At 40.3% G+C, this 27,685-nt stretch overlaps 2 annotated features.

The window, feature by feature from the left end:
• Positions 2,277 to 3,476: an enhancer, noted in NCBI's record as "MED14-independent group 3 enhancer chr2:205186360-205187559 (GRCh37/hg19 assembly coordinates)". NCBI's record gives its function as "activates an origin of replication core promoter dependent on BRD2, BRD4, P300/CBP and CDK7 cofactors, and independent of MED14, by STARR-seq in HCT116 cells {active_cell/tissue: HCT116}" and the evidence as "EXISTENCE:reporter gene assay evidence [ECO:0000049][PMID:35650434]".
• Positions 26,921 to 27,464: an enhancer, noted in NCBI's record as "NANOG hESC enhancer chr2:205211004-205211547 (GRCh37/hg19 assembly coordinates)". NCBI's record gives its function as "activates a minimal SCP1, AML or CMV promoter by ChIP-STARR-seq in naive H9 embryonic stem cells {active_cell/tissue: H9 hESC(naive)}" and the evidence as "EXISTENCE:reporter gene assay evidence [ECO:0000049][PMID:30033119]".

Genomic DNA, 27,685 nt, shown 5'->3' on the forward strand with positions numbered 1-27,685 from the left:
ACAAGATAAAAATTGTGTACCTAAATGAAAAGGTAAAACAAAAAATAATTCACAAAAATATAGAACTACAGATATAATCTAGGAGTTAAGAAGAACTTCCTAAGACTAGAAATTCAAAGGCTAGATAAAAAAGGATAGACACATTTGAATATGTAAATATTAAGAGTATTCCTATGGCAAAAGATCCAATAAATAAAATCACAGTCAAATATCAGAGCTAGAGAAAAAGGTTTATATCAGATTTAAAACAACTGGCACCTGTAACATACAAAAAAGCTTTTAAAATTGTCAAGAGTAAGTCAATCCAGTAGAAAAGCAGGTAAAAGACACAAATGGACAAATCACTGAAAAGTAAATCTAAATGGCCAAGCACCTTCTTTTAAATGCTCAAATTCATTTATAGTCAGGGAAATGCAAATTAAAGTAACAATGAGATGCCATTTTATAGCCATCAGATAGACAAATTAGTAAGAATTATCACATCCAGTGACGGTGAGCTGGTGGGGATGTGATAGAAAGGGTACTCACACATATAATGGCAGAAATATGGTGTCTTACAGCTGTTTAGAAAAGCAATTGAGCAATAATTATAAAAATTGAAACAACATTTACTATTCAATTCAGCAATTCCACTCTTGAAAATTTAGCTCATAGAAATGAAAGAACCAACACATGAAGCTATTTAAGTATGCGTGTGTGTGTGTGTGTGTGTGTCATCATTGTTCGATGAGGCAAAAAAAAACTGGAAACAAAAATTCATTAATAAGTGAACAGCCAAAATATTATGGAATATTTACACCACGGAGAATTATGCAACCATTAAAAAGAATGAAGTAGTTATGCCAGTTAACCTGGAGGGATGGTCACAAGGTTTTGTTAGTGAACAAGTCAGGTTGCGGAAAAGTGTATGTAATGTCATGTAATGATGTAATGTAATGTAATGTAATATAATTGATTACTTTTATAAAACACTGGTAATTACAAATCTGTGTTATATTAATACAGAGAATGATATGGAAGATCATACAGTAGATTTTTAAAAATTGATTACTTGAAAAAGAAACATAGAGGTGTGGAGGGGTGGGTGAGCAACCATCCTGGTTTGCCTGGAACTGAAAGGTTTTCTAGGATGTAGCGGTTTTACGGCTAAAATTGAGACAGTCTCAAGTAAACAGTGATTGTTGGTCACCCTATGGGTGCAGGTGTATAGGATGGAGAGGGAAGGGAAAGGCAAGCCAAAAAAGGGGAAAAGATATGACTAAAAGTCATGTAATCATATATGCACTCATGTAAAATTATTTATCTTGGTTGATGTTGGTAAAAATAAGTTTTAAACCTGTTTATTTTCACAGGTTTTTATAATAATTGAGGAAAGACTTTCACTCACAGACTCCTGTGGTTTTGAAGAAGCTACTTTAGAAATACAAGGGCTAATGGCATCTTCGATGAGCAAGGAAATATCATTTATTTGTTTAGTCAAAAACATGTTCATTAAACATTTATTCCACGTATTAATTTACCTATTAGTAACACAACACATAGAAGGCAGTCAATAAATGTGTTGAATAAGTAAGCAAATGCATGACCATAATTATAATGCATATAATTCATGTAATAACCACAATATATTGTAACATATATACAGCATGAGAACATATTACAATAACAATGCTTTAACAGAGGCAAAAACAGAAGCCCAAGAGAACACAGAAAAGGTGCCTGACTTTGCCTAGTGAGATCTTGGAAATACAGCAGAAGAGAAATATGGAGAGTTTGAAAAAATGAGAGTTTATGGCTAGGAAAAAGGAAAGAGGAAAATCCAGAAAGCAAGAACACCCCATACAAACCCAGGAGTCACAGAAAAGCAAAGTGTATCTGGGAAAGAGTGTGACATTCCCCAAGGCATGCATAGGGAAAAAGTGGAAGTTGGGAAAGGAGAGGTGAGAAGATGAGGCCGCACAGGAAGGAGAGGTGAGATGCTTTAGTTCCTAGGCACCTGCCAAGCAGTTGGCATTCATTTTGAAGGCACTAGGAAGACAGGAAGTCTCACATCAGAGAAAAGCCACAATTGGATTTCGTTTTTAGGAAGATAACACGAGCACCAAGATAGCAAATTGACTTTATGTCAAATGCCATTTCCAAGTGATTAGTCATGAGAGCTGAAGGATAATGTTAAGAAAGACTGGGTGGTCACCTATGTCTGGGCTTAGTAGTTAAAGTGCCGTGAGCGATTAGCAATATCTACTATGGACAAGGGAGAAGGGGAACGGTGACAAGGTTGCTATGTGTTTTCCAAGACCGCGCCTACTACCAGCAGTGTGGAGGAGGGCCCACATGGAAGAGATCATTGTCAGGGAGAGCGGGTGATCTACTAATCCATACAAGAGGTGACGGACATCTGGAGAGGTACAGTGCAGGAACCAGACTCATAGGAGATTTCAGAGGCGCAATCAGGAGGCTCTGCTGAATGAATTTAGTCATGGATGAGATCCAGGCACTAAGGGCATCTCTGGCAAGCGAGCAAATTTCAGATGAGGATCGCTTTATGGTATTGGAACCAAACCCACTTGGCCCCATATACACCTCAGAGAGGATAAGATGACTCGGCAGTTCTGGGAACTGCCAGGGCACATTCCACAATTCTTGCCACCGAATCACTTTCTGATGTCTGTGGCCTCAGCTGCTTAGCCCAGCAGTTCTTGTGATTTATTCTCCAGAGCAGCTCCCAGAAGTTGAAAATCCTCCTAGAGCCAAAAACAGGAAGCATCCCCCACTCACCTGGCCCAGGGTCCAGGAAGGAATATGTGTGCTCTGACACACCCATGGTGTAAGTTCCCATTATGTCAGCAGTGTTTACCATCTCCAGGCACTTCCTATGACATAGGAGCACCGCCAAATCTCTTCACCAGCAGAGGAAATGACTAACTCCAGGAAGTCATCCCTTCTCCCTCTATCCCCCCAACCAAAAATGGAGAGGCTGTTGGACTTTCACTAAAAATATCAACACCATCTAAAAATAAGGTTCATCAACTCTGCCCTTGCCCCAGAATTCCTGACCCGAGCTCCTCTGACATCACCACTGGCCCCTGTCAACAGAGCCTCTCAGAGCCACCTCCTAGCTGCCCTCTTAGCTTAAAGTTCATTTTGAAATCAATCCCCACCAGCCTTCCCACCAATGAGATCACGAATAATAGCTGGCCATGACTGTATCAAACAAGTGTTTTCCCAGGGGATGGAAGGTCTTCCAAAACTCTTCCACAAGCACACGCACCCAAGCGGGTTTATTTCCTGTCTGGTTGGCTTCCTCCAGGCTCATTACGGTTTCAAGGTCATTTTCCAGAAAAGGAAAGAGAGTGCAGGAGTGTGACCTTTAGCAGTCTCGGGTGGACATGCAGCGGCTGACCTGTAGGAGAGTCTAAATGAAGCCATTTGTTAGGAAGCCATTGACAAGCACTTGGGGTATTCAGTAGTGGCACTGTTCCTACTGATGGTTCCTGGGGCACTCAGCCTGCTGCAGAGCTTTCTATTCTGTCTTGAGCTAAGAGACCCCAGCTGAAAATTGGCATTTGCTTTGGCGGTGGTGGTCTTGGTTGTTCTCAACTGATCTAGAGGAGAGTTGGGAAGAAATACCTAATCTTTAGTCCAAAGGAGAAGGATGGGAGAAATAAGACATAATTCTAGATTCAGTTGTGGTTTTTTTTTTGAGTCCCCAGGCTGGAGTGCAGTGGCGCAATCTCAGCTCACTGCAAGCTCCACCTCCTGGGTTCACACCATTCTCCTGCCTCAGCCTCCCAAATAGCTGGGACTACAGGTGCCTGCCACCACACCTGGCTGATTTTTCTTTTTTGTATTTTTTAGTAGAGACAGGTTTTCACTGTGTTAGCCAGGATGGTCTCGATCTCCTGAACTCGTGATCCGCCTGCCTCGGCCTCCCAAAGTGCTGGGATTATAGGCGTAAGCCACCACGCCCGGCTAGATTCAGCTCTTAACTCCTATATTGCTGGAGGTTTCTCTAATGACTGAACTGACTTATTAGCTTTGCTCCCCAAACAAGGAGGCAAGAAAGTCTCAAATAGCAACCCTTCCTCCGAGAGGAAGTAGCACAGCATAGTGGATAAAAGCTTTGAAGTTAGGGTCTCTGGGGTTAAATTCTGTTCTTGTTACATACAGCTGTGTGACATTTTAGCACGTTATTAGGCTCTGTAAGACTCAAGTTTGTTTCTCAGACGTAGACTGGGGTTTGTTATGAGGATCAGTTAAATAAGAAATGAACAGTTTATACACAGTCAGTGCTCCATAGAGGTACCTACCTGTTTTCTTTATTGAGTGTCTTGCCTTGTGCTCGGTGTTCTTCTAGTGCTGGAGATTCTACAGAAAACAGGACAGACAAGGCCCAACCCAGAGTAGGACACAGAGGTAGCCATTTGTGGATGCTGAGTGGCTGGTTGGTGGAAATGGCATGTAAGCTCAGGAAATGAATTGAAAATAGGACTGGGTGGGGCAAGACAGTCTTTCATTGTTAGTCCTCACTCCAACATCCAAAGAGCTCTGGAGGAAGGAGAAGGAAACTGACATACAGAAACATCCAGGATGTGTGCACATGTGAGGCCACTCTGGTGGGATGGTTTCTTCTCAGAGCTCCCCATCAGCTTGAGCACGATCTCAGGAGGAGCCCAAGGGATGGGTTCAAGGATGGGGGGACACACAGTGGTCACTGCAAGTCTTGCCCCCAGCAACTTTGTAGGCAAGGGGACTCCAGCTATCTCCAAGGCACACCAAAAGCAGAGGAGGCTTGGCCATTATGTCTTCAAGGTGACCATGAGGAGGGAATTATGAATATCAGGAGGCAGCTTAGGAGACCAGAAGGTAGGTACAGAATGATGATAGTGACAGAGTTTATGAGGAAAGAAATACATTGTAAGTTTGTGGGTTCAAATGGAGCCATTGAACTGAATCCATTAGTAACTTTGGAGACCTTACTTAATTAGAAGTTAGCTTGGTTCTTCTGTGTGCCTCAAGCAGCATGGTGGGCAAAACTTTTTTGCTCTAAGGGTCTTCATAGTCCTTCTCTCTCCTCCACTCCGGAGCCAAGATAAGGATCACATGCTGTGATGTATTGTAGTACCTTCTCTCTCTCTCTCTCTCTCTCTCACACACACACACACACACCCATTCTTAAGCTCTTTTTTCCTCCAAATTAAATGTTTTCTTGGTCATTTGTATGACAACATTGCAGCTTGTATATTGTTGAATGTTTCTTTCTCATTTTGAGCAGCCACGATATGTTCAATTTGAAGTTGTACCTAGGGAAGCCCTGGCAGAAGACACAGGAGACGTACGGAATGAAGCAGGATTTAAGACAGACGACAACAATGGGTTGGGGGTTGGTTTGCGAGATACTACTCTCTTACTCAGTTGGTATGGCTCCAAAAGGCCTGGAAAGATGCCAGGAATGAGCAAAGACCCACCAAAATAAAACAAACAGACAACAAAACCCTACCATAAACAACGAGAAAACAAAAAAGACAGAAAAACAACCCATCAGGTTGTATGAGGTTGTAACGGAGTTCTGTCTATGAGATGCTTTCGGGGTGACCAGGGTACACTGGCTGTTCTTGTCTTCCACCCCAAGGCAAGTCAGCACCCCCTAGAGCCAAGGAAAACTCACCGGAAGCTGAGGGGGACAGCAGGGAGACAAGAGTGGGTGACTACCATATTACGTAGAGTGTCAGCTCCATGAAAACAAGGATTGCCTTTCTTGTTCAGTGAAAACCACAAGTGCTGGGGACATAGTAGCCTCTCAATAATTATCTGTTGAATGAATTTCATCATAATGTTGCTAACATTACCCTGCCATTCCTTCAATACCTTAAGTTGTGGATCTACTGTATGGGATAGGAATGTGTCATTTTTTTCTATCAACAAACACAGGGATTCATTTCAAATGTAGATTATCATTCTAGACTCTCACTGTGTTAATGCCTTTTCCTAACATTTGAGGGAAACAAATCCAGGTCACATATATCATGTTCTATTTCACAAATTCTAGTAAGGCTCAACAGTAGTGCATGTTATTATTACCTAACTTTAGAGTGGACCAATAGTATTTACAAAGCGGTATAGGATGTTACAGTCAAGGTTTCAGCCCTTTTCCTTGAAGCCAATTACACCCCAAGAGATTTTTTTTTGTTTTGGAGGGTCATGACAGAGGATATCCCCTAGGGGGCAGTGTGTGCATATGTTTCAACCAAGCAAGGAGCGCATTTCATGGCCCGAGGTAATTGCAAAGGCTACAGGAGATCGGGGAGTCTAAGACACGAATGCACTATATGAAGTTGTCCTTTAGGCAGAGCAGAGTGGAGGCGACCTGAAAGAATTGCTCAATAGAAAAAAACCTAGTGACACAGCAGAAAATTGGGGGATGGTAACTTTCAAGGCTCCAGCCACCTAAATGCTTAAGGTTCAACACAGGAATCATTTGACACGCTCCTTAACATTTGCTAAGGGGTTTTTAATATTTTTATTTATTACATTTTATATTTCATGTTTCTGACATCCATACAGAATTGTGTTTCATTTTCTTGTCTATTCTAGGTGGCAGTTCAAATTCAATTAAAGTTAACCAGTTTTAATTGAGTAATAATAGTTGATAATGTATTATTGAGTGCTTATAATGTTCTGAGTGTTTTACTTACATATTACTTTAGTTAACGTTTCCACATCACCATGAGGTGAGGACTGTTAATATTCTCACTTTACAGATGGGAAAACTGTGGCATAGAGAGTTTACACAACTTGCCCAAGCTTAATAGTCTGAGTCGAGGACACATTCTCTTAAATATTTTACTATGTCACCTCCCAAAGAAGTGCCTCTCTAACTTTTTAATTTAATTTAATTTTACTTTTGAGAAAGGTCTTGCTGTGTCACCCAGGCTGGAGGGAAGTGGTGCAATCTTGGCTCACTGCAGCCTGGACCTTCTGGGCTCAAGTGATTCTCCCACCTCAGCTTCCCAAGTATTAATAGCTGGGACTATAGGCATGTACCACCATGCCCGGCAAATTTGTTGTAGAGACGGGGTCTTACTATGCCCAGGCTGGCCTTGAACTCCTGGTCGCAAGTGATCCTCCCAACTCAGCCTCCCAAAGCACTGGGATAACAGGCCTGAGCCATGGTGCCCAGTTCCTCTCTAACTTTAATGAGTTCACATATCACTTTGAGACCTTGTTAAAATGCAGATTCTGATTCAGTAGATCTGGGTGGGGCCTGAGAGACTGTTTCTAACAAGCTGCAGGTGATGCCAATGCAGTTGGTCCGTGGACCACATTTTGAGTAGCAAGAACCTAAAAAGGAGTGTGTATTGAGGGTAGAGGGATGTGAGGATATAAAGATGTGCATGGCGTAGTCCCTCCACTCAAGCAGATTATATCTGCTAGAGAAGGTTAGGGCAACTACACAAGTGGTGTATATTATGAAAGAAAGTGTATGTCCAGGGCCACAGAGGCACAGAGCAACTCAATAGGTACTAAGTGAGGGACTTTCTTCTAGGATAGGACAATGCACTTCAGGAAGGACAAGCAGGATGAATGAGGTACAGTTCCTGCCTGTGAGTCGTTTGCAAGCTGGTGGGGCAAGGTCAACAGACACATAAATAACCCTAGTACGGGCGTAGGTTTTACAAAAGAGGCTGCCCAGGATAATTCTGGGAACAGGAAGGAGGGACAAAATGAGGGAGGTGAGCATTTCTTTTTCTTTCTTTTTTTTTTTTTTGAGATGGAGTCTTGCTCTGTCACCCAGGCTGGAGTGCAGTGGCGCCATCTCGACTCACTGCAAGCTCTGTCTCCCAGGTTCATGCCATTCTCCTGCCTCAGCCCCCTGAGTAACTGGGACTACAGGCACCCACCACCACACCAGGCTAATTTTTTTGTATTTTTAGTAGAGACGGGGTTTCACTGTGTTAGTCAGGTTGGTCTCAATCTCCTGACCTCATGATCCTCCCGCCTCGGCCTCCCAAAGTGTTGGCATTACAGGCATGAGCCACCGTGCCTGGACAAGCATTTCAATTGTGAATTGAATTAGAAAGCTCAAGGAACAGAGCTCTCATCTGGCTGCAGACCTGGAGAAAGGCCTCATGAAAGAGATGGGATTTGAGATAAACCATGAAAGACAGATGGGGTTTTGACAGTGCATAAGGAAGGATATTTCAGGGAGGAAAAACCAGTTTAATCCAAAGTTCTGAAATACAGAAGTACAAAGCAAATTTGGGGCTAAGGGCATAGTCTTATTTTCCTATCTAGACACCGTACGGAAGTTGTGCTGAAAACCATGCTTTAGAGCAATGATTCTCAATCCATATTGAAAAAAATCACTTAAGGAGTGAAAAAAAGATTTCGATGCTGGGGCCTCATCCCCAGAAATTCTGATTTCATGAATCTGAGTCAGAGGTGAGAATCCATATGTTTTTAAATCTCCTCATTTTTATTTAGATAATACGTATGTGCAGCCAGATTTGAGAACCATTACTCTAAGCAATGATTCTCAAATTGTGCTGCCTGGGTCAGCAGCCTCAGCATCACCTGGGAACATCTGGAAATGCAAATTCTCAGGTCCCACCCTGGACCTACCGAATCGGAAACTCTGGGGGCGGGGCCAAGAACCTCTCTTCTAACAAACCCTCCAGCGATTCTAATGCAAGTTCAAGTTTGAGAACCAATGTTCTAGAGCCTTGCTCCTCCAAGTATAGGCCACTGGAAGCTTACTACATGCATGGAATCCCAGGCCGCCCCTCAGGACTGTTGAATCAGAACTGCAGTTTAACAAGATCCCCAGGTGATGGGTGTGTACATTTAAGTTTGGGAAGCCTGGTGATTTTCAGGTGAGAAGTCTAAACTTTTTAAAGACAACAATGGGAAGCAGCTGAAAGTTATAAAGTGGTGGTATAACTGATGAGCGCCCCAGGAAGAACCAGTGGCTAACTGAATGTAAGATGGATTGAATAAAACAGATCCTGTACAATACACCTTAAAAATGGATCCTGCACGACGATCCTAGAAAGAAGTCCCAGAGAAAATCCCCTTGCCACTTACACTTCCAGGACCTTCTTCTCCTATTCTTTCCTTCTTCGAGGCTCCAGGAGAGAACAGTGCACTGGGGCCTCTTGCCTCGCTGCTTGGAGCTCCTTTGACGGTGGAATCTTGCCAGCCATTGATCCAACACTGGGAGTTATCGCGGCAGTGCAACTGCAGTCAGGCCTCAGCTCCAGCTTGTATAATATTTCTGATAATAAGAGAGCCTAAATGAAGCATCCTTTAAAAGGCCTTCACTGTTAATTTGGCACAGGGAAAAAAGCCAGCACATTATACTAGGTTTTCCAGTCATTCTGCCTGTGCTATATGGACTCTTTGAATAGATGTCCATAATGAGATTACTCAAAATGGAATTCATTACCTGACTTCGGATTTATTGCTTTTTAACTAGAAATATAAGGCTACACACACTCTGCTCCCAGCGTTAGTTGTGTGACTGCCCCGCTTCTCCATTCCAGAATGGGTACGGGAAAGCAGGGTGAAGAAAATGCCCAGGAAGCCTGGGGGTCGTGGACAGTAAGAATGGAGCAAACAATGTGCTTCATTAGGACGGGTGCATTGGAACCCCGGGCCTCTGCTGCTAAGTTCTGCTTCCACAGTCTCACCATGGGGATCACAAGCCAGTCACCTCCTCACTAGCATAATTGGAAAGACTCTAAGGGGCCCCGAAGTGCTGAAGTGCTGTAAATTAGCAGCGTTCAATTCTGATGAACATTAAAGGGAGTGTGCAGTTAATTCCTCCGCACATGCTGATCGCAAAGTCTTCCCACTGGGGGCTTTTGGCTTGGAGCGTTACAGGGCCATTTGTTCTGCATGGCTTCTCCACCAGGGCAAGGACCTCAAGGTGAGTTAATAGGCTTGGCTTCTCAGCACTTTATTTTAATCTGTATTTACCATCATCATATATATTTTAACAAACCTCTGGTGCATGGCATGCCATTGAGCACTGCACAAACTAGATAAGAGAGACGGGGCCCTGGTTTCACTGGCAGAGGGCGGCAACTACATTCAAGGGGGTAACTGAGAAATCCTGCCTTGTATGCTAGTTGGTGGCGCTCCCTAGTCGCCACTGGCTCTGCTGTCTGCCACATGTCTTCCTAGACCTTTGCTTCTTTATGCTGGGGCCACCTCCACTGGACTGGCAGGAGGAAAGTGAGGTCATGTCTATAATATCACCTCTCACAGCCTCGGTTACCATTGCCCATTCTATTTTCTCTGTCCTCTCATTCTTTCTTCGTCAAACTCTCTGTCTCTCGCATGCAATGTAAAAATATTGCTGACAGTGGCTTTCCATGAGATAATAATCTTAAATAGATGACACATGGATAATAGGATAGAGTAAAACAGGATGGGTAAATTGATAATTGCAGATTAGAAGGAAATGCAATCAGCAAACAAAACAAAAGCCGAATTTAGGGGGTAATAAGCATGATGTGTTAGAATTGTTAAGAGTGAGGTATTTTCATATACAAGTCTTTATCCCTGAGGTAAAACCAAAGCGGCATCTTTACATGTTGCAGAAGTATGTCTGAAATGGCACATTCTATTTGTTTGTTTACACATTTCACATTTTAAAAGCAAAAGGAACTATCATTACAGATATTTTTCTTCATTGCTATAGGAACTAACAGGGAGCAAAATGTTATCATGGGTTATAATATTGCCCTGGACAATTGCAGGGCAAGCCACTAGCCTGAATTCTTGTTGTTATTTTAATTTGTACGTAAACCTTGTCAGATGTCTTAGACATATCTTCAAAAATGCAAACTAATAGCCATCATCATCTGATGTTCCTGAGACAAATGTGACAATGACAATATGTTGTTAAAGGCCACGCTTGGACTATCAAAATAATGAGACTGTGGCCCAAGCTGCCTGATAATTTCACAGCTATTTTTTAGTCAATATGGGTCATCACTTGGGTAATACTACAGACAGACCTGATATCAGCTATTTATATAGCTAGAGAAAGTCACATTTTCCCCTTTTTGGTGAGTGCAAAGGGGTACAACTTTCTTTGTGTTCTGTGACCTTCCAGTCTTACACAGATTATACCTCTAACACCAGCCTTCAAGAATTACTGAAGTGCTGGGAACTAGCCCATGGTACATTTGCCCTGGCTTGCAGGCAAAGATTTAGCATCAGGTAAATCTTTTTGAATATACTGAATGCCCATGAATATGAATTCTTTGGATGCCCAGGGAGGCGTATGTAAGGATATGGCATTTCTTCTATTAGGCTGGTGCAAAAGTAATTGCGTTTTTTTTTTTTTTGTGGTTACTTTTTAGAAGAGCCGTCCTGTCTTCTTCCTCCTCTTAAGCTTGAGGCTCCTTGGAGATCAGATGGATACGCTTATTAGACTCTCTAGTGAATTTTCATTACTGTCCTGCTGAAGCCTCAAAATATAGGACAATGAGTTCCCCACTTGCTATTGCCTGGGCCAGGAGCCACTAGAATTATCAATATGATGTTTCCAAATGACACATTTATTTTGTGGAATTTTTGAACAGAGGACCTAAAATTGCTGATTTTTGTTGTTTGTTGGTGTGGTTGTTCCTTCTTTGTAACATATCACAGAACAGAACTAAGACTCTTATCTGAAATAATTATTAATACAGTCATGCATTGCTGAACAACAGGGATGCATTCTGAGAAATGCATTATTAGGTGATTTCATTGTTCTTCGAACATCATAGAGTGTACTTACCCAAATGTGGATGCTGTAGACTATTACACACTTAAGCGATATGGTATAGCCTCAACTTACACAGCATATTATTTTACTGAATACTGTAGGCAGTTGTAACACATGGTATTTGTGTACCTAAACATAGAAAAGTACAGTAAAAATGTGGATTGTAATCTTATGGGACCAACATCCTGTATGCGATCCATCATTGACTGAAATGTCATTATGCAGTGCATGACTCTATTAAGTATTCATTGTTGAAATATGCTTAAATTGCAGAAACTGGCTAAAGGTTTCAGGGGAAGAGGCTGAAAAAAATTTAACAAACTCCTTAAAGAGGAAATATCTTGTACACTAACGTATCTGAAAAGTTTATGGTAACACGGCCAGGTGCGGTGGCTCACACCTATAATCCCAGCACTTTAGGGGGCCGAGGCAGGCAGATCACGAGGTCAAGAGATTGAGACCATCCTGGCCAACATGGTGAAACCCCGTCTCTACTAAAAATACAAAAATTAGCTGGGCGTGGCGGCATGTGCCTTTAGTCCCAGCCACTCAGGAGGCTGAGGCAGGAGCATCACTTGAACCCGGGTGGCGGAGGTTGCAGTGAGCTGAGATGGCACCACTGCACTCCAGCCTGGCAACAGAGCGAGACTCCACCTCAAAAAACAACAACAAAAACAAAACAAAACAAAAAAAAACAAAGTTTATGGAAACACAAACACACTTTTGCCATTTGACTATAGTCGCTAAAATGTTCACTTTTCTTTTTTATTATGTAAATAATGAGTCCTTTATCACTCTAAAAACATCAAACTCATATAAACTTATAAAGCAAAATTTGAAAATGGTCCTTCATTCCCTTGCCCTTTCTCCATCTCCATCCTTTCTAAACTCTCACATCCATCCCAGGAAATTATATGCTTCCTTCCAGTTTTTATCCTATGCTTTTATAATATTCACGTACATATGTATATATCTTTTAAAAATGTAAATGGGATCATATCATGCATATTGTTCTGCAATTCAATTTGACCACTAAATATGACCTGAAGGTTTTTTCCCCATCAGTAGATACAGCACTCTCCCGTTCTCTTTCACAGATGCCCAATGTTCCATATTAAGGATGAATCATAGTTTATTTGCATATTCTTCTGCTGACTATTAATATGATTTTTTACATTTTTCCTATTTTACACAGAAATAGGAAAATGTCAGAACATTTTGGAGTCCATGTGCAAGCATGTCTTTAGGATGCATTTCTTTTTTTTCTTTTTTTGAGACAGAGTCTTGCTCTGTCGCCAAGGCTAGAGTGCAGTGGCACGATCTCGGCTCAGTGCAACTTCCACCTTATTAGTTCAAGCAATTCTCCCGCCTCAGCCTCCCTAGTATTTGGGACTACAGATCTGTGCCACCACGCCCGGCTAAATTTTGTATTTTTAGTACAAGCGAGGTTGGGATGTTGGGATGGCTGGTGTCCAACTCCTGAGCTCAGGTGGTCCGCCCACCTCGGCCTCCCAAAGTGCTGCGATTACAGGTGTGAGCCACTGCATCCAGCCTTAACATGCATTTCTAATATAGAATTCCTTTCTCAATTTTAGTAACTACAGCCACTTCTCTTCCAAAAGGGTTACCCAGTGATATTACAGTGATATTGCTGTATTGCCAGTGGTTTTGCAGTTTCATAGTCAGGGCATCCTTTCAAATATGTTCTGCTAGAGATAGTAAGCTCAGTACTTTGGAATCAAACAACCCTGAGTTTATATCCCGGGCAGTTCAAACACTTAGCTCCCTGGGCAAGTTACTGAACCTTACTCAGCTTCCATTTCCTGCCCATAAAATGAGGATAATATAACGGATTCCTGGGAGTTGTTGGGAGGATAAGTATAATAACGCCTAAAAAGCACTTGGCACATAGTGGGTGCCCAATAAGCCATAGGTATTAATGAATCCAGACATAACTTGAATTCCATAACTTGAGAGAAGGAATACAGTAACCAGCAGTTTGCAGAAAGAGATTTCCTGAGAAGAAAAATATTCAGATGAATCTATCTATCTATCTATCTATCTATCTATCTATATATGCCACATTTTGTTGGTTTTGTATTTTATCTGTGTTTTTATCTTTTTATTAAAAAGATCAGCCAGACATGGCAGCACAAGCCTATAGTCCCAGCTACTTGGGAGGCTAAGATAGGAAGATCACTTGAGCCCAGGAGTTTGAAACTAGCCTAGGCAACATAGCAAGACCCCATCTCTAAAAATACATGTTATATATGAAAAGCCACTGATTATATGTGCTCCTTCAACCTTTGATCTACATCTGCGTTCAGTCTCAGAAGTAAACTTGGTGCGGACAATATTTCTCATTTATTTCTGTCTATTTTGTATAACGTAGAGGTTTGTGCAAGGAGTTATATTTTGCTAATTATATTTTTACAGGTTAATATTAAAATGAACTGGCATTCCCTAAGCACACACTGATGTAGATGTCCAATCTAATTTATCACTTAGTCCTCTGGCTTAATGATGAAACCTGTCTTTCCCTGACCCACCTCCCATGGCCTCTGTGGCCAGGGCTATCTCTACCACTGGCTCTTCCTGAGCCTTTTGGCTTTGTATTATGGGGTGGTTGCTGGCACCAGTTGCTCTGCACATCTGGGGGACCCTTCTAAGGGAACACTTTTATTTTAAAATTAATTTACCTCATTTGATTTCCTAGTTTTCAGCTGTTGTAACAAAACTGTTCATGTACTCAATCACTCAGATTTGGATGGAATTATTTGTCCTATTAGCCTGAGTAATAGCTAAGGCAGGACGCTCATTTACTCCTAACAAACCACCTGGGACTTATAAAGAAGAAATGGTTTCCAAATCTCTATGTCCAGTAATATCCCCATTGCCCTAAGCCTATCTCAATGAAAGAATTAAAATTTGTTTTCTCAGCTGCCAGCTGACATCCCCAAAGGAGAAGCAGAGACAAATACAAAGGGATACTTGTGAGTAGCCCCTTTTATTTAAAAAAAAAAAAAGGCTTTTCATGGTTTTAATAAGAAAGATACAAAAACAGCACTGAAATTCAAAACCAACAAAACGCTGCCCAAGCAGACCTTCGGGCAGAGGATGGCATGGTATGGAGAGGAGAATAGCATCGTAGCTAAAACATAGTCCCTGGCCCACTCCTCCTTGCCATTTTGCGAGTCCATGACCTTGAGAATGTAACATGACCTCTGTATACTTCATTAATTGCACCAATAAAAATAAGGTTAATTACAGTATCTACCTAATAAAATCAATGTGGAAATTAATGAGTTTCACAAATACAAAGCACCTAGTGCCCCATACAAAGTAAGCGTTATATATATGCTGGCTACTGGAATTTGTATTTAAGAGCTTAGGATCCAGAATAGGCTGCCTGAATTCAAACCCTGAACCTGCCACTTATTACCTGCATGACCTTGAGCAGGTTACCTAACCCTTTGAAATGTGCTCCTGCGTATGTTAAGTGGGGATGATAATGGTATGTCAGGGAATTCTTTGAGAAGCAATGGGTAAACTATACAGTGTTTGGCATTTAGAAGGTGCTCTGATATTAAATATAATACCTACTGACATTAAATATACAAAATATAATGTATTATATATAATATATAAATATATACAAATTTATATATAATATATATTATATATTTAATATAAATATATAAATAAATATAAATATAATATAATATATTTTAACATATATTTATATATGAATATATCAGTGCATATTATTTTTGGTAAACTATATTGCAAGATATTTGTGCCATGTCTACAACAAACTCTTCTGGTATGAGCTGACATGGATTCCTGCACTCTTTCTTTCTGCCTTTTGGTTTCTTACAGTTTGGTTTTAAACAAATGAAGTCCCACAGAGGACTATGTGGCAGCAAAGAATGCCATTCCTTATTAATACATCATTATTGTATGGATGAGGCAATGTGCAACCAGGGGACCTTGGGCCTCAGCCAGAGCAGTCATCTCAAGTAACAAACGGACCTAATTATAAGGTGGTTTTACCTAAAAGGTCAGCCTCAGCCCTGTCACAGGAGGCTGGCATCATAGGAAGCGTCTACTGTATTATATTGCACATCAATATTAACATGTGTTCTAAGACTGTTATGTGAATGTTATTTAGAGGACTTAGCTTTCTGCTCTGTGTGCACAATCATGCACACACACACACACACACACACACACAAATGCTTTTAGTGGATGCAGTAGACCCTCTAAGTCCCATAATTCTGAAAGCTGACTTTGTTTGTTGCTTGGGGACTGATTTTGCAGGCTAGTTGCACTGTTGAAATGAGTCCTTGCTGCTTGTAAGTCTTGTTCCATAATTTCATTTGGCTGAAGCAGGAGACAAGTACCTCATTTTAATTAGAATTTCAAGCAAACTGCATTATGTCGTTATGTGTTATTCTACAAAAAGATACCGTATCAAGGACAGCTGTTGATGGAGTAAAGCATCCTGTTAACTCTGCCTGAGAAACAAAAACACTTTCATTCACTTCATCAGTTCTGTGACTGTGCTGCTTCTGACACATCCCATGGAACAGAAAGATGTGCCCTGGAGCCCTCCAAGACAGCAAATGTTTGAAACAAGGTGCTAGGTAGTAATCCCAGGGCCCATGAAAATGTGACATCACCATGTCATTAGAGGGCAAATTGCAGGTCCTATCCTGCTCTCTGTCTCTGCTGGCTTGCTACAAATCACAGTACTCTCTAAGGAATCCACTCTCTGCCTATTGCTCTGAGGAAAGCTGTAGATTGTGTTGAAGAAAAATGGAGGCTATGCTGCCTTAGACCTGCAATTAAGTCCCTGCTGCTCTCCAAACCAATGAGTCCTTCCAAGTAGTAATCTAATTTATTTTTCCCATTTTCTAAGTAATGCTAGGGTAAGCGTGTTCATCATTTTAGACTCACTGATTCTAATTCCTAATTCAGACTTGTTTGTTCAGTAGAAGGTAAACAACCCCTAAGCTATCACCCACCCTCATTTATTTGGAAAGAGAGAGTTTCAGTGGGAGAAGATAAATAGCATGTCAAACATGGTTTGGAGGGGCTGCAACTGAATAATTTCTAGTTTCCTATGTCTGTCTCCAGCTGTTGTGGCCCAGTGTGACTCTGGCAGCTGTGTGCTGGTTTGGCTGAGCTGCTATTCTGTCAAATCAGATCAATACTTGTAAGCATTTGTTTGATATAACAATCTCAGGCCAGTCCAAGAATTCACACGTTGAACCACATGCATGGAAAGGACTGTTTTCCAGTTATCTGTCTGTGCATACAAGATCAACTGGTTGATGCCTGTAATCCTAAAATCCCCTAGAAAATTAAAGGAAGACCACATTTAGAGGATTGGTGGACTCGAGTAGCCCTGGGGATGAATCAATTCAATTCCATGAACATTTATTGGGTGCTACTATAGACAAGGAAACATAGGATACATAAAGATCAGCAAAACACAGTCCCAATTCTCGAGTATAATTTAATACCAGGTTATAAAAACATCAGTAGTTAATAAATTATTATTTAGACTTGGCCTTGTTCCAAAAGGACTTAAGATGTAAGAATACTCTTGAAAATATATACAGTGGGTCAAAATGAAATAAAATAAGATTACATGAGAAGAGTTTAGGGAAAATTAAGGGTGGGGAAGTTCAATGAAGCTGGAAGTTTAGAAAATGTAGACCATGAGAAATAATGCTTACTTACCAGTGATGGATCATAAATTTGTCTCAGAGCTTCTCAGAAGCCTGAATAAAACTGGAAACAAAATGAATTTTTTATGTGATTGACAATGTCTATGTTGATCTTGCTCACGAAGGAGGAGGGCTATACCAGGTATGGAAATGACACAAATCTTTCTCACATAAAGATGACTTTGATTTGTTCTAGTCAGCAACTACAACATACTTATGTAGAATGCAATGATTTTCATAGGCTGGTAGCAAGGACTGTTTGTTGCTTATGTAACAGCCATTCCTTGTCACCTTCACCCTTACTGCAAATAACCCCCTCCACCATCATGTGCACACACACTGAAAATGCTAGATAATGGCTCTTGCAGACTCCCCTGGACATATGGCTTAATCATGGCCAATGGAACCCCAAAAGAAGGATGCTGGGAAGCTCCTGGTTAAGATTTTCCCCTCTGATAAAAAGACACACTGAGGGAGAAGCTGCCTTTCCTACCTTCGGATATGGTTATAAGAAGACATACCCTGAAAGGTGTCATCATCTTGTGACCAGGAGGGGACGAGCTTCTGAACTAAGCCTATATGCTGAGTTGGGAAGTAGGGCAAGTGTTTCATGAAGCCACAGAAAAACTAAAAGCTCAGATTTCTGCTCCAAAACTAAGATGGGCAAGAAAACTCATGCCAGAATTGAAAAAAAATTTGATGTGCATTATAAGGAAATAGATCTGGATGAGAAACATCTACTCAGGTTTCATAGAGATGATTTTTTAAAAAGAAAGATGTTTTTATGGCCCAATTAGAAAAGCTAAGTATTTTTTCCACCTTTACTATATGATGTTATTCTATGAAATAAGCAGAGTCCTGTTGGCCTTGGCCCTCCTTCCCATCTTATCCTTCTACATCCATGTTGAGAATGAAAACCCCTGTAAACAACTGCATTTGTGAGATAGACTGGACAGGAGGAGGGAGAAGAGGCAGCAGCATAGATAAGCTGGGAGAGGAAGATCTTAAAATCCTCATAGGTAAAGTCTATGGGAAGAAATAGGCAGATAACAATCATTGCAGCAGCACAATCTCTTGTTTTTCAAGCAGTAAGCCGACTTGAATACCAAATAACCAGGCAGTAGGTGATGGAGGAAATGACACCCTGATAGAGCAGTGACACCCTAAAAACTCTGATAGGGACAGAAAATTAGACTAGAAGATATTTGTGTCAACCTTCCCTCCAGCTCAAGATCTGAGAAGGGAGTTCAACCATCAAACAGCTAGGCAAAGAGAGTAATTCACTCACCCTGTCTTGATAAACATGAAGTCTGGATATATTTATCCATGTTCTAGCATCGGTAAAGATACTAGAAACACAAATGAGGCTGGTGAAAACATTATAGCATAAAGAAATGGGAATATTTGGCTCAAAGGAGTTCATCTCTGAAAATGATCTATGACACGATTAAGAAGATATTATCAAGAAACCATTGGGAATCCTTGAAAGAATGCCAAAAGACAGGCCACTAGAAATTAGGAGCTTAAGGAGAAAGATAGCTCAGATTAAAGGTGAAATTATAATTTAGATTAGTGAAATTAACAAGGAGCCCCAAAGATCTAAAAAGATCTAAATGGGACTTCCAGGTAAAGATGGAGCTTTGAACAAACACATCTAATTTTGCTCCCTCGGCAAACCCTTATAACACTATAATAGAGAGATTTTGTTTGGTCTTGTTTTCATATAGCAGCCCACATAGGTACAGAAAACGGAAGAAAAGAAAAAGTGGCAAAATTTTGATGCCATAAAACAGACAGACATATGGAAACAGACTTAACAGATCTGAGAAAGCGGAATCCTCAACTGTAGGTAGGGAAAGCTGAGAACTAACCCAATTTACACTGCAGTCCCCCTCCAGAGACTCAGAAATTAGCAGCACTAGTCCTTCTAGAAGCCAGGATGAAAGAGTGCAGGACAAAAGATTAGGAGGATTGAGAAAATTAGGAAGAAACTAGATCTCTGTGCCTTCCCTCTCCCTTAGATTGCCACTGGATGCCATCTCTTATCCCCAGCAGAAGCCTGGAGGTTTATATTATAGACAGGGTAAAATAGAAACTCTCAGCTTAAAGACAACAATGGAGAACTCTCAGGTTTTGTACCAAAAATAGGAAGATTAAGTATCTGTTTGCATACTGACTGCTGAGCACTAGTTTCTTCTTCCATTGGCTCCCAGAATGGAACTTTATTTCTCATGAAAGAGATGGATGAGTCTTCTCTAGGGGACATGATCAGCCCATGGTGCTGAAAGCCCCCAACATATAGTTGGCTCTCCTTTTTTGTGGTTCCTCATCCACAGATTCAACGAACTGCAGATTGCAAATATTCAGGAAAAAAAATGGTGCACATAAAAAAACCCAATAAAATATAACAAATATTTGCATAGCATTTACATTGTATTAGGTATTATAAGTAATGTAAAGATGAGTTAAACAGGAGGGTGTGCACAGGTTATATGCAAATACTACACTCCATTTTATACAGAGGACTTGAGCATCTGTGGATTTTGGTTCCACAGGAGTTTTGGACCAATCCCTGCTTATACTAAGCGATCACTGTATTGACAATGGGAATGGTAAGCACTCTTCAGTGATTCACAGAGGACAGTCTGCATCTAGGCACTCAGAGTTTCAGGCAGCTGTTTAGCCCTCTGCTCTTTAACATAAGCAAACAATCAAGGTTTTCCATAAATCCAAGAAAAGCAGGTAGTATGGTGGGGAGCGGGGGAGGAGAAAACAAGAGAAAAAAGGAACCTGGATGAAAAAGGCAATGTGCAGGGAAAAGAAAACATTACAAAGTAAACTGTAATTAGTATCTTTCAAAATATAAAAGATTTGTATACATGAAACAAGAACAGGGTGCCCTAAAAATGGAACAAAGAAACAAACAAAAACATAAAAAAGCCTTGGGTATAAAATGCAATGGAAAAATGTAATTTACATGAGTGTTAGAAAAAATCTGAATGATGCTGTGAAACTTCGAATTAGTCATATGAAAGTTAAACTTGAAAAGTGTTCCTGGATTGCAGAAGCAAAATCAAAGAGATTTAAATGGCAAACAGAGGATAGATATGGAAGATATGTGATGGAGAGCAAACACAGATCACTGGTGTTCTTAGATCAGTATAAATAGAAGAGAAACCAAAGCGAAGACGAGAAAAACATTTCTGAGCTGAAAAAAAAGATCTGTACTTACTGATTGAAAGCACCCACTACCTCGAAGCAAAATGAATTTTGAAAGACCCAAATGAAAGTACATCCTGGCCAAACTTGAAAACTTAAAAGAATGAAGGGGATTTATGAGCCTCTTGGCAAAATAAATGAATAGATTGAAAGGAATGCAAATAAGACTGACCTCAAATACCTTTTCTGCAACTTGACATACCAGAAGACAGTGGACTAATGTCTATAGAATTTTAAAAATAAACAATGGCCGGGCATGGTGGCTCACGCCTGTAATCCCAGCACTTTGGGAGGCCAAGGCAGGTGGATCACCTGAGGTCGGGAGCTCAAGAGCAGCCTGACCAACATGGAGAAACCCCGTCTCTACTAAAAATACAAAATTAGCCGGGCGTGGTGGCACATGCCTAGAATCCCAGCTACTCGGGAGGCTGAGGCAGGAGAATCACTTGAACCCGGGGGGGGCAGAGGTTGCAGTGAGCCAAGATTGTGCTATTGCACTCCAGCCTGGGCGACAGAGTGAAACTCCGTCAAAAAAAAAAAAAAAAAAAAAAAAAGAAACAATTATCATGTAAGAATTTTGTACGTAGCCAAATTTTGTGTGTGAAGGCAACAGAAGAAATTACTCACAAATATGCAATGTATCATTCATGTGAACTTCTTAGAAAAAATTATTTGAAGCTGTAATTGAAATGCCTGAGAGAAAAAACAAAATTTTCAAAGTTTCGAAATATGAAGATAATTGTATAAACCATCTGGCTGCAAACATTCAACCATTTAGAATTGAGAGATATCCAAATTAATTTTTGTAAATGTTATTATAAAAGTGGATGCCAATTTCAAAACTCATTTTTAAATTAGAAGATATATAATGGTTGGAAGGAAAAAAGAAGAGCGGGTGGGAAGATAGAAGGGAAAGAAGAAAAGGGAGAGGGAGAGCAAAAAAGTTCACTTTCGTTTTGATTACATGAGTGATGACAGAGAGGTGGCAGGGTAAGTCTTAAAATACTGAGTTTAAGAACAATCTAAAATTGTTCTTAAACTCAATAGTTGTCAAATGTTGTGCATTGGAATCAGCTGGGGATCTTTATGAACCACTGATGCCTGGCTTTCACCCTCCGATGGTTTCGTTTAATTGGTATGGGGTGCCCGAAAGCTCCTCTGCCACTTCCAATGTGCAGCAACATTTGGGATCAACTGGCTTAACTCAATAAATAGAAAAAAGTAAGAATGGGAAGTAGATTTCAGCTTGTGTTCCAACCCTTCTTAATTGGCAATGACTGCCCTAGGGCTTTGCTGGGGTCATATCAGGCTCAATGGGAAACTGCTCTGATTCATTTATACGGTCTTCACTGGAAAAGGAGAGAATGACATTACACACTGGCCATCTCTGGGTTGGAGAAGATTTCTAAACTAAAGTAACAATTAATAGATTTAAAATAGACCAGGCGCAGTGGCTCACGCCTGCAATCCCAGCACTTTGGGAGGCCGAGGCGGGTGGATCACGAGGTCAGGAGATCGAGACCATCCTGGCTAACACGGTGAAACCCCCGTCTCTACTAAAACTACAAAACATTAGCCGGGCGTGGTGGCGGGCGGCCACCCCAGCTACTCGGGAGGCTGAGGCCGGAGAATGGCGTGAACCCAGGAGGCGGAGCTTGCAGTGAGCCGAGATGGTATCACTGCACTTCAGCCTGGGCGACAGAGTGAGACTCTGTCTCACAAAAAAAAAAAAAAAAAAAAAGATTTAAAATAATGATAGATTCCTTCAAAAATATTGGAGAAGGTAAAAGTAAAAATCATATAGTCATATAATAAAAGGCATTAAAAAGGAAGGAAGGAAAAAAGGAAGGAAGGGAGGGAGGGGGAGGGAGGGAGGAAGGAAACATAAGGAGAAATTTTAGAAAAGGTGGTGAAATAATGATCAAATATGTTCATGAATATAAATGCAATTGGGGGAATCCCCTTCATTAAAAGAGAGTATCTTTAGATTGTATAAGAGAAGGGAAATCCACCTACGTGACATTTTCCAAACACCCACCTACTATGAAATTACTAAATAAAAAATACATTAAAAAATTAAAACGTGGGCAAACATATCAGGCAAAGACAATAAGAAAGAATTCCATTACTAACAACAAATATAGAAATTAAAGTAGAAATATTAAATGAGATAAAGATATCCTGTCAGAAAGGATATTTCACAATGAATATAAAACTGTCATGAATTTTTATTCATCAGATAACATTATATCAAAATACAAAAAGTGAAATCTGCTATAAATTAGGAGAAATGGACAGAAGTACAATATCAATGGGACATTTTAACATACCTCTTTCTCTTTTTGACAGGCCAATAAAAAATATAAATCAGTTTATACACATAATCATAAAATACACCTTTATTTTCAATACTAATAAAACACCTACTAAAAAATAAAAAGATCATGCATCAATACAATTACAAAAAGGCAAAAGTATATAGTTCCTGCTCTCATTTATTGAATCAAGAAGAGAATTAACACTGCAATTTTTTTAAAAATTAGAAATTAACAATGATGAGAATAGTACATATCACAAATGCCCTACGACAGATGTGACTATGAGAAGAATGTCATTTTAAGAGGAAAGTTTAGGTTGATGCTGAGGGTGATGGTGATTTCAGTATATAATAAAATCTGCCCATGCCTCTTATGTTCCTTCTTCTGAAGAAAAAATCTTGGATTCCAGTTCTACCTCTAGAGCTACAGTGATATTCTTCTCCTTTCTTCTTCATTTTGGATTTTGTGAAAATGTTAAAATTCTGCTCTGTGAAAGCAATGTGAACAGAATGAAACAAAAAAAAGCTACAGACTGGGAGAAAAATATTTTGTAAAACATATGTCTGATAAAGGACTTGTATCTAAAATACACGAAAACCTCTTAAAACTCAACATTAAGAAAGCAAACAACCCACTTAACAAATGGGCGAAAGATCTGAAACAGATACTCCACTACAGAAGATATACAGATGGCCAATAAGCATATAAAAAAGATGTTCAACATCATTTATCATTAGGGAAATGCAAATTAAAACAAGAAAGCAACACCAGTACATACCTATGGCTAAATGACTAGAATCCAAACAAACTAACAATTCCAACTACTGGTGAGGATGCAGAGCAACAAGAACTCTCATCCATTGCTGGTGGAAATGCAAAATTTACAGCCACTTTGGGAAGATAGTTTGGTTGTTTCTTACAAAGCTAAATAGATTATTACCATACTAAACAGCAATTGTGCTCCCAGATATTTACCAACTGATTTGAAAACATATGTCCACATAAAAACCTGCATGCAAATGTTTATGACAGCTTTATTCATAATTGCCAAAAACTAGAATAACCAAGATGTCCTTCAATAGGTCCGTTGATAAACAAACTGTGGAACACCCATACAACTAAATATTATTGAGTAATGAAAAGGAATGAGCTAGCAAGTCACGCAAAATATGGATGAATTTTAAATGCAAGTTCTAAATGAAAGAAGCCAACCTGAAAAAGGCTATGTATTATACGATTCAATTTACATGACATGTTGGAAAAGGTAAAACTATAGATATGGTAAGCAGATCAGTGGTTGCCAGTGTTGCAGGGAGCCAGTGGGGAAGGGCTGGATAGGTAAAGCCCAGGAGATTTTTTAGGATGGCAAAACTATTCTGAATGATACTGTTACAGTAGGTAGCTAGTCAGGCAACAGCAGTGCAGGAGAGGGCTCCTCCTCCCCACCCCCAACCAGGAGTGTCAGGTGACTGTCAGGTGATGGTCAGGTGGTTATTAACTGTCTCTCTAAAATAATAATTGGTCATAGCTGGCGCCAGGGCAAGGCAGTCTCCCAGTAGAGGAAACCTGAAACTGGTGATCGGCAGCTTCTTAATAAGATCTCAGGAGCTGGGTGAGTGGGCTCAAGTGTGCACATTAAGAGGCAGAATGGCAGAGTTTAACTGGTATATGACCTTCTAGGAAGATTCAGCTAGTAAGGGAAGAATGCCTCAAGTGAGCATGTGTACAAGTCCAGTAAACACACTGCACAGGCTCCCCTCCCAAGCACTAGCAGACCACTGTGCATGTGGACAGCCCACCCCAAGGGAAGAATCAGGGAAGTAAGAGATGCAAGACCCCAGAGGCATGCCAACGTATCAAACCCCAAGTCAAAGTTTAAACAGGGCATTTGATCTCGCAAGTCACCTGCTTGGCCCTCTTCCAAGTGTACTTTACTTCCTTTCATTCCTGTTCTAAAGCTTTTTAATAAACTTTCACTCCTGCTCTAAAATGTGCCCTTGTCTCTCTCTCTGCCTTATGTCCCCTTGAATTCTTTTTTCTGAGGAGGCAAGAATTGAGTTTGCTGCAGACCCATACAGATTCACTGCCAGTAGGTAACAATACTGTAAGGGTGGTTCCATGGCATGATACATTTGTTCAATACCCATAGAACTTTATAACAAAGAGTGAACCTTAATGTATATGCATTTAACAACAACACAAATCATTAGGCAGATGGGGCATCCTAGGATGGAATGACAAAAGAATCTAACTGCATCTCAAAAGCATGTAACAGCATTACCAATGTGTCAAACAACCCCATGGAAGAGGATAGGGAGAAAGATATTGACCCAAGTAACTCTGGAAATGAGTGGGGTCTGTAAGGCAAATGAAAGTGCACAAAACCACTATACTCTAATTGATAAAGTTGTTCCACATAGAAGTGTGGAACAACATAACAACATACATGTATATTAGTATTGAATAATAACAGTAAATGGCTGGCAGATAGTGGGAGCTGGATTTCTCACTGCAGGCGTGGTGGTTTCCAGATGAGCAAGGGGAGAAGGCTAGAATGAGCCATGTGGAAATCGATTAGAGTTGGAGACGTCAGTATGAACTCATGCTGACATGAGAGACAAAGAGACAAATATTTATAGATACTTGTATATGTATGAGTTAGTATGTACACATCTATTTCCTTGCTCTGTTAGTTGAGAGGGACTAGAAAGAAAGACATCCCAGTAGCGACAAGCATACCTAACCCAGATTTAGTTTATAACTCCATTCTTCAATAAAAGGAACCAGGACTCCTAGGAGAAATGACTATTGTAAGCCTGAGGAAGGAAATATACAAGATGGGTCTGGAGTATCTTGTAGTGCCAGAAACTAGAGAAGTAAAACAAACAAACAAAACAAAACAAAACAAAAAACAAAAACCGCCACAATAACAGTGGTATGTCAGAGAAACTGAAGGGCTGATTGAAAGAACTTTCAGTGGCCACAGCCAGAACAATTTCAGAGGAACAAAATAAATAAAGTAGCATTGTTTATAATCAACAAGAAAAGAGACAAATCTCCCAAAACAGCATTCCAAATAATTTCTGTACATATTCTGCCTTCAAGCAGGTGAGAATAAATCCCATTTCATAAGGGTGGGTGGTGCATAGTGACTTTCCCACAAAGTGTACATTATGGATGGGGTGGAGAAGAGAGGAATTTTGCAGTGGAAGAACCTGACAAACACAGTCTTAGCAAGGTCATTAAGGCTAACATCAGCAGTGATAAGTTATGCTGATAGAATGTGTCCTTGATATGATGCGATGAGAATGGCACCTTATCTCTGTGGTCTTCCTCCCTAAAACCCAAACCCCAATGTGATCATGAGGAAAACATGAGATAATTCTATGTGAGGGACATTTACAAAATAGCTGATCAGTGCTCCTTTAAATTGTCAAGGTCAACAAAAACAAGGGAAGTCTGAGAAACTGTCATAGCCACCAGGAGCCTAGGGAGACACGATGACAAACTTTAATGTAGTATCCTGCTTGGGGTCCTAGAACCATAAAAGAACACTAGGTAAAAACTGAAGAAATCTGAATAAATAAAGTATGGGCTTGAGTTAATAACATATCAATATTAATCATCACAAATATACCATACTAAGGTAAGATGCCAGTAGGGGTGAGTGGGTGAGAGGTATATGGGAACTCTCATATTCAAAACTTCTCTGTGAATTTAGATGTATTCAGAAACCTTTTGTAAAATAAAAAATTTATTTTATAATCTTTAATGAGAACTAAAATCTAAATCTCTGTAGTGAAAAATGTATAGATTCCATTACACTGATGTTATTTTGTACCTGCTGTCTTCAGGGTCACCTAGCCACCAATAAGAATGAACCAACTGAGAGCCTGTGCCAAGTGCCAGACTCTGAATCTGGGCCAAATAGACTGAAACCCTTCCTCCACATCTGTTTAATGTTTTTGACATTCCTTGTATCCTCCTTGCTGAATCTACATAAACTAAAACCAAAAACTGCTGCTGTCCTAAAGCACCTGCAACTCCTCCTCACCCCATTCCCTCCAATCAGACCCCTCAGATGTAGACAACAACATCAATCAGACTCAATGGGACATGATGATCAGTTAATTTCCCCTATTGCTAGCTCACTCCTTCTTCCCTGCTGGGAGCTTACAGCATGCTGAGTGGCCAAGGTCAGGCTACTTATGATAGCGTTGATTAACCAAATTAACCAAGTGCCTTGCTTGTGCATATTTACTTCCTACTGTTTACTCTTTGGCCATTTTAGTACTTGTAAATATATACCAAAGGCAGCAATAGCAACCAGCCCTGAGCCTTTGACATGGCATCATACATCAAGGGGCACAAAATACATACATGTATATGTATTAAAAAGAATCTTCAAGAAATCACATTAAGCAGTTAATAGTGGCTAATTCTGGGAGGAAGAAAGGGAAGGAATAAGAAAATAAATTTTGCTGCATTCTATTTGCTTTTTATTGACATTTGTAAGGATTTCTTTTTACACATTTCTACACTGGATTTTTTTCTACAGTGAACACAATAGTACTTTCGTAATTAAAAACCTACTTTGACTGTGGGATATACACTGTTAGTTAAAATTGTTGGTG

The sequence above is a fragment of the Homo sapiens genome, chromosome 2 (genome assembly GCF_000001405.40).
Source record: "Homo sapiens chromosome 2, GRCh38.p14 Primary Assembly".
NCBI lineage: Eukaryota > Metazoa > Chordata > Mammalia > Primates > Hominidae > Homo > Homo sapiens.